Genomic DNA, 13,511 nt, shown 5'->3' on the forward strand with positions numbered 1-13,511 from the left:
CCTTTCATAAGAACACTGATCCCCTCCAAAAGGCCACATCTTTTTTTTTGTTTGTTTGTTTTTTTGAGTCAGAGTCTCATTCTGTCGCCAGGCTAGAGTGCAGTGGCATGATCTCAGCTCACTGCAACCCCTACCTTCCAGTTGCAAGCGATTCTCCTGCCTCAGCCTCCCAAGTAGCTGGGATTACAGGTATGTGCCACCACACCCAGCTAATTTTGTATTTTTAGTAGAGACAGGGTTTCATCATGTTGGCCAGGCTAGTCTCGAACTCCTGACCTCGTGATCTGCCCACCTCAGCCTCCGAAAGTGCTGGGGTCACAGGCATGAGCCACCGCACCCAGCCAGCCACGTCTCTTACTACTGCTGCATAAGGGATTAAGTTTCACAAAGAATTTTAGAGGAGACTCGAGCACTGGAACCATAGCAGCCTACCTTTTAACACCCTGTCGTGTTTAATCCTCACTATGTTCCTGCAATGTAAAGGCTACAAATTGTCTACATTTTACCTTCTTTTATTTTTATTCACCATGATTTTCTTTGCTTCTTTTTTCTCCTTAGCAGGAATTTTTTTAGTTATATCACAAATATAATTGGTATCATATCAGAACCGTATGTAATCTTACCTTTCTTACCCCATCTGCTTTAAACAACTCTCTCTACATGTTGTATACACACACACACTCCTTTTGGCTGAACCATTTGAAAAGGAGTTTCATGTATCATGACTCTTACTCCTAAATACTTCAGTATGTATCTTCTTCAAACAAGGACACGCTCCTGTATAACCAAATGCCCTTATTATACTCAGAAAACATAACATTGACATGGAGATATTATTTAATATTCAGTCCATGTCCTAATTTTCCAAAGTCCCCTGTACTGCGTTTATTATCATACCTCTTTGGCATCCTTTAATCTAAGATAATTTCACTACCTTTCTTTGCCTTCCTTTATTCTAACACTTCGGAAGCCTGGGCCAGTTGTTTTGCAGGATCTCTCATTGTTGGACTTCGATTGCTTTCTCACAATTCAATTCAGGCTAACTATTTTTGGCAAGAACACTATACAAGCAACATCATATCTTTTTCCACATATCCCTTTAGGAAGTACGTAGAAGACTGTCCCATTACTGGGGATGTAAGTTTTATCACTCAGTTAAGGTGATAACCACCAGATATCTCTAAGTTAAAGGTGTTATTTTCTCCTTGTAAATAATAAGTGACTTGAGGGGAAATACACTAAGAACATGTCAATATCCTGTTTCCCAACCGTCTTTCACCCAAGGATGATTCTGATCTGAACAAATTGGTATATTGTTCATTGCAAAACTAATAAGTATAGGTAACTAAAATACCTTAGGCAACGAGAATAGTAGTAGTATACAGTGTTTCAGTAGTGATTCCCATTTATTGAGAGTCCACCCCGTGCCACTGTAGGTTGGGTGGCATACATGTATTCTCTCTGAATCTTGCACAGTCCTTTAACTTCTGCACTCTTATTAGGCCCACATTACAGCTGCAGAGGCTGAAGCTAAATGAATCTATATGGCTTGCTCTAGGCCACTGCTTAGTCCCTCTGTGTTGCTATGAAGGAATACCTGAGCCTGGGTAATTTATAAAGAAAGGAGGTTTATTTAGCCCATGAATCTGCAGGCTGTACAAGAAGCCTGATGCTGGCATCTGCTCGGCTTCTGGTGCGGGCTTTCATGCTGTGTCAAAACATGGTGGAGAAGGTCAAATGGGCGGTGGGAAGGTGCCAAGAAGGACTAAATATGAGGGGTGTCTGGGCTTTATCACAACCCACTCTCGGGAACTAATCCATCCCCCCAAGAACCAATCCAGTCTTGAGAGAGCAAGAACTCACTCTCTGCTAATAGAACAATGGCATGAAGCTCTTCACAACGGCTCTGCCCCCATGACCCAAACACCTCCCACCAGGACCATCTCCCAACACTGCCACACTGGGGTCCCATTTCAGCATGAGATTTGGTGGGGACAAAAATATCTTATCCAAACCACAGCAGTCACTTAGCTAATGCCAAGGTTAAACCTGTATTTGAGTTCAGTTCCAGCGGCTCCATGTGGATGTTACTCACAAATCACTTAACTTTTCTGAGTTTCTGGGTTCCGGGTCCAGCTCCATAATAGGACTGAGTGTTATCCATGGCTCTGCCGTTCTGACTAAAATGACACCCTCCTGTAGACCTGGAGGGAAGGAATAGAAAGAATGATGGCCTGAGACCTCATCAGGAAGAATCCCTCCAGTATCTCTCAGTGCTACGCAGAGCTGTGAACAACGTCCAGAATGTGCTCCCGATTGCTACAGTACAGAAGATCAATTAACAGAGCAGGCGGAGCTGTGAACAGATTCCAGGGAAGACAATTAAAGAATGAAAGCATCGCATGGAGGTCACTCTCCCTGCTGTCACCACCTCTGCTCTGTGTCCACATCCCCCTCAGAGGCTATTCATCCCTCAACCGAAAAAGCAAAATAACAGAAACTCTAAGCATTTCCAGGCCTTTTAGATGGGTCTGAAAGATTCATATAGGGGGCCACTTAATCACCATTGAAATCCACCCCAGCTTCCATTCTTGGAAAAGCAGACTTCCCTCTCTAGGATATGCAACAAGGGGGAAACATGCTGGACAAGGCAGAGAAATTTTAAAAAATTTAAAAAAATTTAAAAAACAAGCAGAGGGCTCTGAACGCACCCTGTCTCTGCAGCGAGGTGGGCCTGCTGCTTGGACCTGGAGGGCACTTCGAAGTCTCCAATCTGTGGTCTCGGTAAACTCAAAAAACGTGGCACCCACAGACCTTGGAACCGTGATCTGGAATCAAGAGAGAATGTGTAAAACATATAAAACAATAGTCTCTAATTAAAGACTGCAGAAAGGAGAAGACTGAAACCTTCAGAAAACTAAATCAATGAATTAGAACAACGAAGAAAAAAACTAAGATCTGAATTATGAGGTGAAATCCAAAAGAAAGCAAACCTCAGAGCTCCAATTTAGGAATTCCAGAAGTAAAAAGAACATACAAAATTCAAAGGCTTGGCCAGGCACAGCTCATGCCTGTAATCCCAGCATTTTGGGAGGCCGAGGTGGTCAGATCACTTGAGGCCAGGAGTTCAAGACCAGCCTGGCCAACATGGTGAAACCCTGTCTCTACAAAAAATACAAAAATTAGCTGGGTGTGATGGTGTACACCTGTAGTCCCAGCTACTCGGGAGGCTGTAGCAAGAGAATCGCTTGAACCTGGGAGGCAGAGGCTGCAGTGAGCCAAGATCATACCACTGTACTCCAGCCTGGGCGACAGAATGAGACTCTGACTCAAAAAAAAAAAAAAAAAAAATCAAAGGTTAAACATATTCTGGAACTAAAGAGAAATCCAAAGCTTAAGATCAAGAAAAGTAGTTAAATTTTATGAAAAACTATTACAAATCATATATGCAATACATACACACAAATATATGTAATTCAGGATTTTTAAAAATTATACCACCATTACCAATAAAATAACATATTACCTACAAATGAAAAAAATAAAATAGATTGGTATTAAATAAAGCGTAGTACTTGAAAAAATTCTTTAAACTTTCAAAGAATGTTACCTAAAAAAAGGTTATAGTCAAACTTAAGGCTGACAAAAAGACCCTACTAGAAAAGAAAAAAAAGTTGTAGGAGTTGAATACCTTTCTTGAAAAAATATTTGCAAATAATCAACACAGAATAGAATTTAACACTGCAAGAATGGAATGAAGAAGATATAAAATAAATGAGAGTAAACAATATAACAAGTAAATCACAAAAATTTGGCCTAATTTTTAAAGGCTAACAAAACTAATACAATCATTAATTAATAATATACTGATCAATAACAATATTAATACTCAGGATGTGAAATAATTGCATTTCTGACTGAGCATTTACTAGAAAGAAAAGTGTGGTAAATGTCTCATTTTACTTGAGGAATGGGCAGAAAGACATTCTGAATGTAGATGCACACTTAGAAAATGAAAGATAATCTCTCCAAAATAATAAATAGAATAAAATTATGATAGAAGGTACAATTCACAAGGGAGATATGTGTTATCATATAAGTTACAGTGTCTACCTCAATGCCACAAAACTGAAAAGAACTTTTGGATAAGCAAAAAGAAAAAAAAGAAAATTACCAAAAAAAAAAAAAAGAGAGAGAGAGAAAAATCTAAATAACTCTTAAGTTAAAGAAATAAAGCAAATTATGAAGCCCCACAGAGCCAGTCCTTCAAGATGGCTCCTGAGTGGCTCACTGGGCCTGAACTCAAAGGACAGTCCAGGGCCACCTGCTGACAAGGTCACACAGGAGGTCACATAGGAGGTCACACAGGAGGTCACACCAGTCCTCTGCACAGCTGCCTCTACTTAGGGGCTTCCATACCTGTCTGTTCCTGTTCGTGAGGCCTGAACAAGCCAGTGTACTGTGACCTGTATTGACCAATCAGAACTCAGCAAGTTTGCACCCCTCATTTGCATAAGGAGGGGGAATCGGGGCAGAAACTTTCTCTATAAAAGAGAAACCCTCCTTGTTCTCTGTGACACACCTGTGTTTTGTGCCAAAGGCTGTGTCTCCCCAGTTTGCAAACTGTTTACTGGAATAAAGCCTCTTTTGATTTTCTTAAAATCTTTTTCAGTGGATTTATTGGCAAAACTACCACTACACACTACTTAGAAATTAACAATGAGGAAACTACACGTAGAATTTATGGCATGCAACAAAATCTGTAGTCATAAGAAATGTATAGCATCAAATACTTATTATTCAAAATTAAAAATGCAATTCAAAACAATAATAATATAATATTTTCATCCTAACATGAGCCAAAATTATTTTGATAATAATTAAGTCAGGAAGAGTGTAAGAAAAACAGTATATCAGACTAGTGGAAACAGCTATCACAAAAACTGTTAAAGATGAGCTGTTCTGAAAGCTGAATTTCTCCATGACCTTGTCAGCAGATAGGAGTGTGTGGCAGAAGGAAACTTCTTCCAATAAATTTCCCATGTGTGCTTAAATGCTCTTTTTGGCATACAACTCTTAGATTAAGTGAAAGAAAAATCTTAATGATGAACTATTAAGATTAGAACCAACAAGTTCCCAATTACTTTTCAGAAGAGAGTGAAAAACCTGTTGAGTAAGGCCTTCCAAAACAGAAATATGTCAATAAGTATCCAAAGTCTTTAAGTTGTAAGTTTCTTTTTGAACCAGCAATTCCACATTTAAGAATTTACCCTAAAAACTTATCATGAAAGTATAAAAAGATTTATCTCCAGCTCTCTTTTAATCACAGCATTGTTTATAGTAGACAAATATTGGAAATAGACTAAATAAAAGCCGTAGGAGGATAGGTATTGAAAAATAAAAAAATCCCAAGGACCCCAACTCACTGAACAGATCCCCTCCTTTCCAAGAGGACTCCAGAGTAACCTTGGAAACAGAGTTTCTGGCCACGAGGGGATAGGAGGTCGGGCAGGCATGGTTCTACTCTCTCACTTGCTAATCGTGATTAGGCTTATGCCCTAAGGGTAAACAGAAACCAGCCCTTTCAAAAGAATCCACCACTGACATCAACCAACTACCAGATGCTGCCTCTCCCTTTTGCAATTTCAGTACCACAATTGAGCAGCTTTCCTTCCTGATAACAGACCACTGGCCAGGGGGCCAGGGAGTGGTTCTGGCCAGTCTAGAAGGATGAAGAATAAGGGTCTTCATGTCTTCTGCTGCACCTTTTGAAAGCAGAAAACTCTACCCTCAAATCAAGCTATCAGCACCATTTTTCTTTAACATGGGTCGAGGAGGCATGAAGCTCAATTGCACGTGCCTGCATTTTTCATTTCATAAATATTCACGACTCCTCCTATAGCTTATTGAATATTTATATTCAGCAACCTCACTCACAAAAAATCCCTGTTCCCTTTGCCCCTGCCTCCTAGTGTCTGTTTCCAGCTTCTGTCTGGAGGCTACACTTCCCAGCCAGTCAGAATGGCTGGTCTGCAGGCTGCAGCCCTTTAGGAGAAATGAAGCTCTCCTTTCCAAATTTATAAACCTCAGTGTTCTTCAGTGACAGGGTAATCTGGTACCTCAATGTGAAGGCACACTATTTCATCACAGAAAAAAAATACAGTAGAAAAATAGAGACTAGTCTTTATGTTGAATGTATAAAACTGTTTATATGTAGACAAGTAAGAAAGGTAGGTTACAAACAGTAGGTATGGGATGAATCACTTCAGTCATAAACAAACAAATGCACACAAACACATATGCCCATAGAATAATAACCATGAATTTATTTCCTCAAACACCTATCTCTATGGAAGGAGTGTTTTAGTTTTATTGTGGGGCTCCTTGTTTCTTCTCATTTTCTACAGTTCATATTAGTAATTTGCAGTCCTACTGACAAATATTATTAAATACAAATAGATCAACCCAAGTGAATTTGATAACTAGTAATGAATCGAGTCAGGCTTTATTGTTCATTCTTTCCTGCCTCACTTTACATGAGCCCCTTAGGAAATGCCAATGAGAGAATACACAAGTGGCATAGAATATGCATGCTGAAATGACTCCTTTTGTGAATAAGTTAATCCCAGAGAAGGCAAGTGACTTGACCAGGCTCACTCAGTGTTAGAACAGAACCTGGGCAGAGTCTCCACTTCCTGATTTAACTCAATACTTGGAAAAGGCCCTGCCACAGAGGACAGGTGTTTTCTTCTTCATAATTACAAAGTAGGAGAGAAGAACTTGGAAACACTAGTCTTACCAAACTGATAACCTTTCTGATATCACTGATGGTCCACTCGCCCATCAGTGATATGTAAAATAATGGGAGGACTGTTCTTCAATTTTCTTTAACACTGATATGAATTCTAAACACAGAGATACAGTAGAATCTCGAGGCAGCATCTTTTGTCGTTTCTGATAAGCACGAGTGCTTTGAGTGTTGTCAAAATGTGGAACTGCAACTCACAGAGGAGGAGGCTGCCAAAGCAATGAGTTTCAGCTTTGCTGTGAAGTCTGACTTGGTTGAGGAGGGCAATTTGCCCTCCAGGATGGGGTGCAGTGTTTAAAATACTTGTCACATGAAGGCAGTGTCTCAGCCCTCCCAGAAGCCGCGATGCACCCCCAGCTACAGCAGGACTGCCTTCACTGCTTCCTACACATTTCCCATTTGCTGGGTTTTGAAAGTCATTATGAAAAGAGAAGCCTTGAAAGAGAAAAGGAAAGCAAATTTCATGGTACAGTCTTTGTGAGCAGCTCTCAGCAGGAAGCATCTCCATGGTGACCAAGGTCTGCTCCTGGACGTGGAAGAGGCAGTCACCACCCCCTAGGTTAGAGGAGACACAAGTTGCCAAATATTAACAGGAAAGACAAAGACTTTACAAAACTTTTTGTGGGTGTTCTCATTCACTCTAACGTCTCATCCAAGGTCTGCTCATGCCTCACAGAAAAGAATGTGACTTAACCTAGACAACACCAGTTCTTCAGGTAAGACATCACAAGCCATCCTCAGGTGGCCAGCGAGGTTCTCAGAAGATCAAGGCCATGGAAGTTTCTCTCCAAGAGCTGTCAGTGGTGGGGAGATCAAAGGCCTCCATTCATTCAATATTTATTCAGCAAATATACAGAATCAAGAATCAAGCTGAGAGCTGAGTTCAGTAAGCCAGGGAGTCATCCAAACAGGTCGCAAAAATCAAAGGGGAGGTGAGAAGCAGGTATCAGAACTCAGCGCCAACTGCCAAGGGAGGGAAGGAGGACCTGGGAGGTTCTGCCGCCCAGGCTGGAATCCCAGGCTCTCCCCACGGCTGTGGTGCAAGCCTGGAAGTGACGAGAGGAAGGCTGGACCAGAGGCACCTCCTGATGGGGCACTCCTCCCCACGTGCTTTTTCAAGAGTAAGGGGGACAGAACTGCAGCTCTAGCCTAGGAGAAGCAGTGCCAAGGGTGATTTCGAGGGAATCAAAGCCTCACTCCCACTCCAGGAAAGGCACAGACCTGCTCAAAAAACATCCGAATGCATGTCTGCACAGAGGGTCTGCACAGAGGCAGAGAAGCATGAGAGGAGGAAGATATGATGGCCTTCACCCAAGGAGCATGGCAGAAGGTACTTCTGGTCCACTAGAAGTCATCCACACTGGCTGGATGCCACTATCCTCTTCTTTTTCTTCAAGCCTCTAACAGGCATATTGCCTGGTCCTGCACTGACCCCTCTCTGTATGAGAGCTCTTAGCTTCAGCTCTGTCGATGGCCTCCCTGGTTCACAGGAATTCCTTCCTGGCTTCCTGTCCCCCTCTCGCCTTCTCCTCCCACCTGTCCTTTTGTGCCGTATGCTGCGTTTATTCCAACTTACCAGTTCTGCAAAAACACTTCAGCTTTGAATATGCTGCTTGCTTTGCCTTAAATATAAGCCCGAATTGTCCTCCCTACTCCACCTCGAGGTGCACATGAGCCATCCCCTGCTCTCTGCTCAGCGCCCTGTCTGGTTAGCTGCCTCTTCCTGACATGGAGTGGAACCCCACACAGGCCATATCCCAGCATGCACCACTTCCCTCTGCGTATATGTCTGTCTTCCCTACTGGCTGGGACTGCTTTGAGGACAGTGACTGTGCTGTTTCTCTCTGTGTTCTCAAGGCTTGTGTAGCACAGGCCTGGCATGCAGTACTAACTCATCATCTGTGGTCTCCATCCCATTACAGCCATCACAGAGCTATATCCCAAGCTAATCACTGTGGGCCTGGCATCTGTTGTCCCTGGCATCTGTTGTCCTCTGCCCAGGGACATCTCATGCACACAGTCAGACTCTCTGAGGAAGGCCCCATGCCTTTGGCATTCCCCTTTGCAGTCAGCGTGCTGCAGACACTCCATGAGCAAGACCCCTTTCATTTCAGGGCAGGCCAGAGTTGTCACTTGCCTACTGACTGCTGAGTGATTTAACCGTAAGATCAGTGCCTGTACCTTGTAGGTGCTCAAAGAGTGTTTGTTGTATGAACAATGGAGGGTGTATGTGAGCTCTCAGACTCTCCCCAACTAGCAGTCAGAATGAACCTTGTTTCAGGTTCTGCCCGGCTGCTGCTGGCTCTGTACTATGCGACCAAGTCCAATAACATGAGACAAATCACTTCACATTTCTGTGTCTCCATTTTCTAGTCTAAAATTGGGATCATAATCTGTCCACATTTTTGGGGGGTTTTGTTTGAATTTCAATGTAAGACCACATATATGAAAAATCCTTTTAAGCTCTAGAGCACACCATTCGATCATTCAACAATGCCTAGCAGGTGCCTACCATGTGCCAGACACTGTTCTAGGAACTGAAAATCGAATTGTTTTTTAAAGTCCCCCCAAACATGCCTTTTCTCTAAGCTTTTACATAACACAAATTTCCTGCTTAACGCCCCAGACTACTTCATGGTAAATACATAAGATGCGTTTATTAAACATTTGCTGGGAAATAAATGTGTGCTTGCAACAAATTCCTTTACAGTGAATACATCTTCTCAACAAAAGCTTGTTTTCCTTATCTAAGGTCGCAAAGAAATCACTTACTTTACTCTCTCACCCCATATACATAAGTACCTGCTATTTGTCAAGTGGTCTGCTAGCCCTGGAGGTAAAATGAAAAGCCAGACATATTCCCTGCTTTCAAAGATTACACAATCTATCCAGGGAGATGGACAAATAAGCAGAAAATCATCCTAGAATATAACAACTCTAAAACATCTCAATAAGTGCTGAGATCAGGGAGGTCTTCCAAGTGGAGGTGGCCCTTGAGCTATGTCTTAGAGGATGAATTTGAGTTTTCTGAGCATTGAGGGAGAGGTAGCCGGTCCGAAGAGCACAGCATAGGCAAGGCCCAGTGGAACGAAGGGACAGCTGGTCAGCGTGGCTAAGAGGCTGCCTGGGTGTTGGGAGAGAGACCAGGGAAGAAGCAAGCCAAGGCTTACGCAGCGCCAGAGGACTCACACTCGATCCCAGGGCAGCAAGAAGCTACTGAAGGATCCCAGCAGAAGAGGGCCCACATCCCATCCAGAGACAAGAAACGAATCTCTGCCAGCGTGACAGAGGATGCTCTTATGGGTAGGAGTGAGGAGGTATGTCCAGAGGCAAAAGATCAGAAATGAAATCATTTGGGAAGAGTCACAAGCTTTTAGATTGACAAACTGAGAGCTAACCTCAACTATTCACATTTATTTACCCCTGTCTTCAAAAGAAATCCCTGTTCCACTTCCCCTCACCATCTTAAAAAACCCAACCATTTCAAGTCGAGATACCCCAGATTATCCTTGGGCCAGAATAAATGCACACAGAGAGAATCTGGGACTTCCAGAGTAGGCATGAGGGGGTACAGAGTCCAGGCCCGACCTTGCTTCCGTTTGTTGGCGTTTTTGCCGCAATGCGGCTGGAGCTCTGCGGGGCCACAGTTCCCTGTACTGGAGCTCCACTCTCGGGTGCAGTCCTCACACAACCACGTGCCATTTGTTGTCAGAATAATTAACCAGAATGGAAAAGCGAGTTCATTAAGATTTGACAAGAAGATACCAATCCCAGCACCCAGACCTCACCAGCTTTCATGAAGAGCATGGCAGAGTGCAGGGAGCTGGCTGCCTCTGCCTGCAGATGGGAAAGCATGCAGCCATCCCATGGGAAATCAGCCATGGTTCTCAAGCTCTGTCCCCAGCGGAACACGTGTGCTCTGACCTTAGAATGGACTAGTGGAGAGTGGAAAGGGCAGCAGGTTCGTAGTCAGAAAGACCCAGGGCTGCAGGTCCGTAGTCAGAAAGACCCAGGGCTGCAGGTCCGTAGTCAGAAAGACCCAGGGCTGCAGGTCCGTAGTCAGAAAGACCCAGGGCTGCAGGTCCGTAGTCAGAAAGACCCAGGGCTGCAGGTCCGTAGTCAGAAAGACCCAGGGCTGCAGGTCCGTAGTCAGAAAGACCCAGGGCTGCAGGTCCGTAGTCAGAAAGACCCAGGGCTGCAGGTCTGTTGTCAGAAAGACCCACGGGTCTATCCTTCGTGCCACTTCTTTCTTTAGGACCAATGATTTAACTTTGCTGAGCCTTGGATTCCTCATATAGAAAATAAGGACAAAATTACTTTTCAGAACTATAAAAAGGATTCATTGTAAAAGAAGTAAAATACCAGCCAGGTGCAGTGGCTCACGCCTGTAATCCCAGCACTTCCTGGAGGCTGAGGTGGGCGGATCACCTGAGGTCAGGAGTTCGAGACCAGCCTGACCAACATGGAGAAACCCCATCTCTAGTAAAAATACAGAATTAGCCAGGCGTGGTGGCGGGCGCCTGTAATCGCAGCTACTCAGGGACTGAGGCAGGAGAATCGCTTGAACTTGGGAGGCGGAAGTTGCAGTGAGCGGAGATCGCGCCACTGCACTCCAGCCTAGGCAACAAGAGCGAAACTGTCTCAAAAAGAAAAAAAAAAAAAAAGAAGTAAAATACCTAGCAGGGTTCCTGGAAGGTAGCAGATGATTAATAAAGTGGACTTAATATAATCTCACTTCTGTATTGAGGCCTTATCTTAAACCTTATAATGTTAACTTTTATCTAGTTGATACTACATCATATAATAAATGGAACATGCTTAATTTTCGTTTTCTATCCTGTGAATTGTCTTAAATTTTAGAGCCCTCTACCAGTTTCCATGCTAAAAGGTGGTAGAAGGCAGTGTCTGATTGAGTGCAGAATTATGAATCCTATCGTTTTAGATCTGCTGCATCACCACTGCGTGGTGAGAGTTCCACCAGAAGCAAAGCACCCCGACTTCAGGCACCCATCTTCCCGGGCAAGTGCGAAGCCTCGTTCTGAGTGAGAAAAGCACAACACAAGATACAGGATAACACAGCTGAGCTAACTCTCTGCAACAGATTTGTTCCAGGAATACTGGATGAGATGTATTTTGTGTGACTGAATTCTCTTCTGAAGGCCCAATGGGAGGTGAGTATTATATCAACTGCTGCCTGGACACCCCCATTCCTGCTCCTCCTGACAGTACACCTCTGTCCCCTTTGGCCAGAATATGTGCCCATTCCCCACACCCACTCGTCCCCATCTGAACGGTCCCTAAGACTCAGCCCACAGCCGCCCACCCTACACCTTCCTCCACCCCCTCTCCCCAGCCCACAGCCACCCACCCCTACACCTCCCTCCACCCCCTCTTCCCAGCCCACAGCCACCACCCCTACACCTTCCTCCACCCCCTCTCCCCAGCCCGCAGCCACCCACCCCTACACCTTCCTCCACCCCCTCTTCCCAGCCCGCAGCCGCCCACCCTACACCTCCCTCCACCCCCTCTTCCCAGCCCACAGCCTCCCACCCCTACACCTCCCTCCACCCCCTCCCCCCGGCCCACAGCCACTCACCCCTACACCTCCCTCCACCCCCTCTTCCCAGCCCACAGCCACTCACCCCTACACCTCCCTCCACCCCCTCTCCCCAGCCCACAGCCACTCACCCCTACACCTTCCTCCACCCCCTCTCCCCAGCCCACAGCCGCCCACCCTACACCTTCCTCCACCCCCTCTCCCCAGCCCACAGCCGCCCACCCTACACCTTCCTCCACCCCCTCTCCCCAGCCCACAGCCACCCACCCTACACCTCCCTCCACCCCCTCTCCCCAGCCCACAGCCGCCCACCCTACACCTTCCTCCACCCCCTCTCCCCAGCCCACAGCCGCCAACCCTACACCTTCCTCCATCCCCTCTTCCAGCCACCACTGCACTAGTTGGAAGTGATTTTCCCCATGAGTGAGTTCCCTAAAGTGCCCGTTGTGTGAGTTTTATTTGAGTATGTAGGTATGTTCAATGCAGAGTCACTTGTAGCACAATATTTTTAATTACTGGTTTCCATAAAGAAATTATGTAGTTAAAAACCAAAATGCACATTCATGTGAAATGCAGACCAACTATGTAGGCCAATGCCCTGGGAACTCTCCGCATAGAACTAAGAAAACACAGCCTTCCAGAGGCTGTCAAAGCAGCCAGCCTCTTGCCCCTCTGAATGACCCCACCTGCTGCAGGAGCTTCTGGGGGCATCAGCCCACAAAATCACAGGCAGAACTACTTGGAGACCACCCTTCTATTTATCACATCTGACCTGAATCTCAGGCCTTTTTGCTGAACCCTCAATGCATTTGTAGAGCCTTTCAGAGATGCACCTGCCAGGCCCCGCCAACCAGTCTTGGTAATTATTCCTGATATAGCACAGAAGCCAGCTCTGAGATTGGAACAAACACTAAGGCACACACCTGAGACTCCCTGAGCAAACTGGGAGAGACCCCATGTCTCACGTGCTCCTGCAACACTCACATTACAGATCAGGAAATACAGCCAGAGAAGTGAAACCCCTTCCCCAAAGCCAAATTTATATCCAACTGACTTTCATCATAGGAGGGCTCTGCAGAGCGGGAAGAATCCTACCATCACCCCTGACCAGCTGTGGCCTCTGGAAAGCTACTCCACCTCCCTAGG

At 45.0% G+C, this 13,511-nt stretch overlaps 1 long non-coding RNA gene across 1 annotated transcript in view, besides 2 other annotated features; it reads right to left on the reverse strand.

Moving 5' to 3' along the window:
* Window positions 1-571: 571 nt before the first annotated feature.
* The window catches only part of LINC01250 (long intergenic non-protein coding RNA 1250), a 230,979-nt gene continuing 218,039 nt past the window's right edge, over window positions 572-13,511 (reverse strand). The window contains exons 6-7 of the long non-coding RNA NR_110228.1: window positions 2,712-2,828; window positions 572-2,204 (exon numbers count right to left, since the gene is read on the reverse strand). This is a non-coding gene — a long non-coding RNA (long intergenic non-protein coding RNA 1250). The remainder of the gene's footprint in view (window positions 2,205-2,711; window positions 2,829-13,511) is intronic.
* Window positions 4,326-4,385: a silencer, noted in NCBI's record as "silent region_11106". NCBI's record gives its function as "represses an Ori minimal core promoter by ATAC-STARR-seq in GM12878 lymphoblastoid cells {active_cell/tissue: GM12878}" and the evidence as "EXISTENCE:reporter gene assay evidence [ECO:0000049][PMID:35858748]".
* Window positions 4,406-4,475: a silencer, noted in NCBI's record as "silent region_11107". NCBI's record gives its function as "represses an Ori minimal core promoter by ATAC-STARR-seq in GM12878 lymphoblastoid cells {active_cell/tissue: GM12878}" and the evidence as "EXISTENCE:reporter gene assay evidence [ECO:0000049][PMID:35858748]".

Source organism: Homo sapiens, chromosome 2 (genome assembly GCF_000001405.40).
Source record: "Homo sapiens chromosome 2, GRCh38.p14 Primary Assembly".
In the NCBI taxonomy this organism is placed as follows: Eukaryota; Metazoa; Chordata; class Mammalia; order Primates; family Hominidae; genus Homo; species Homo sapiens.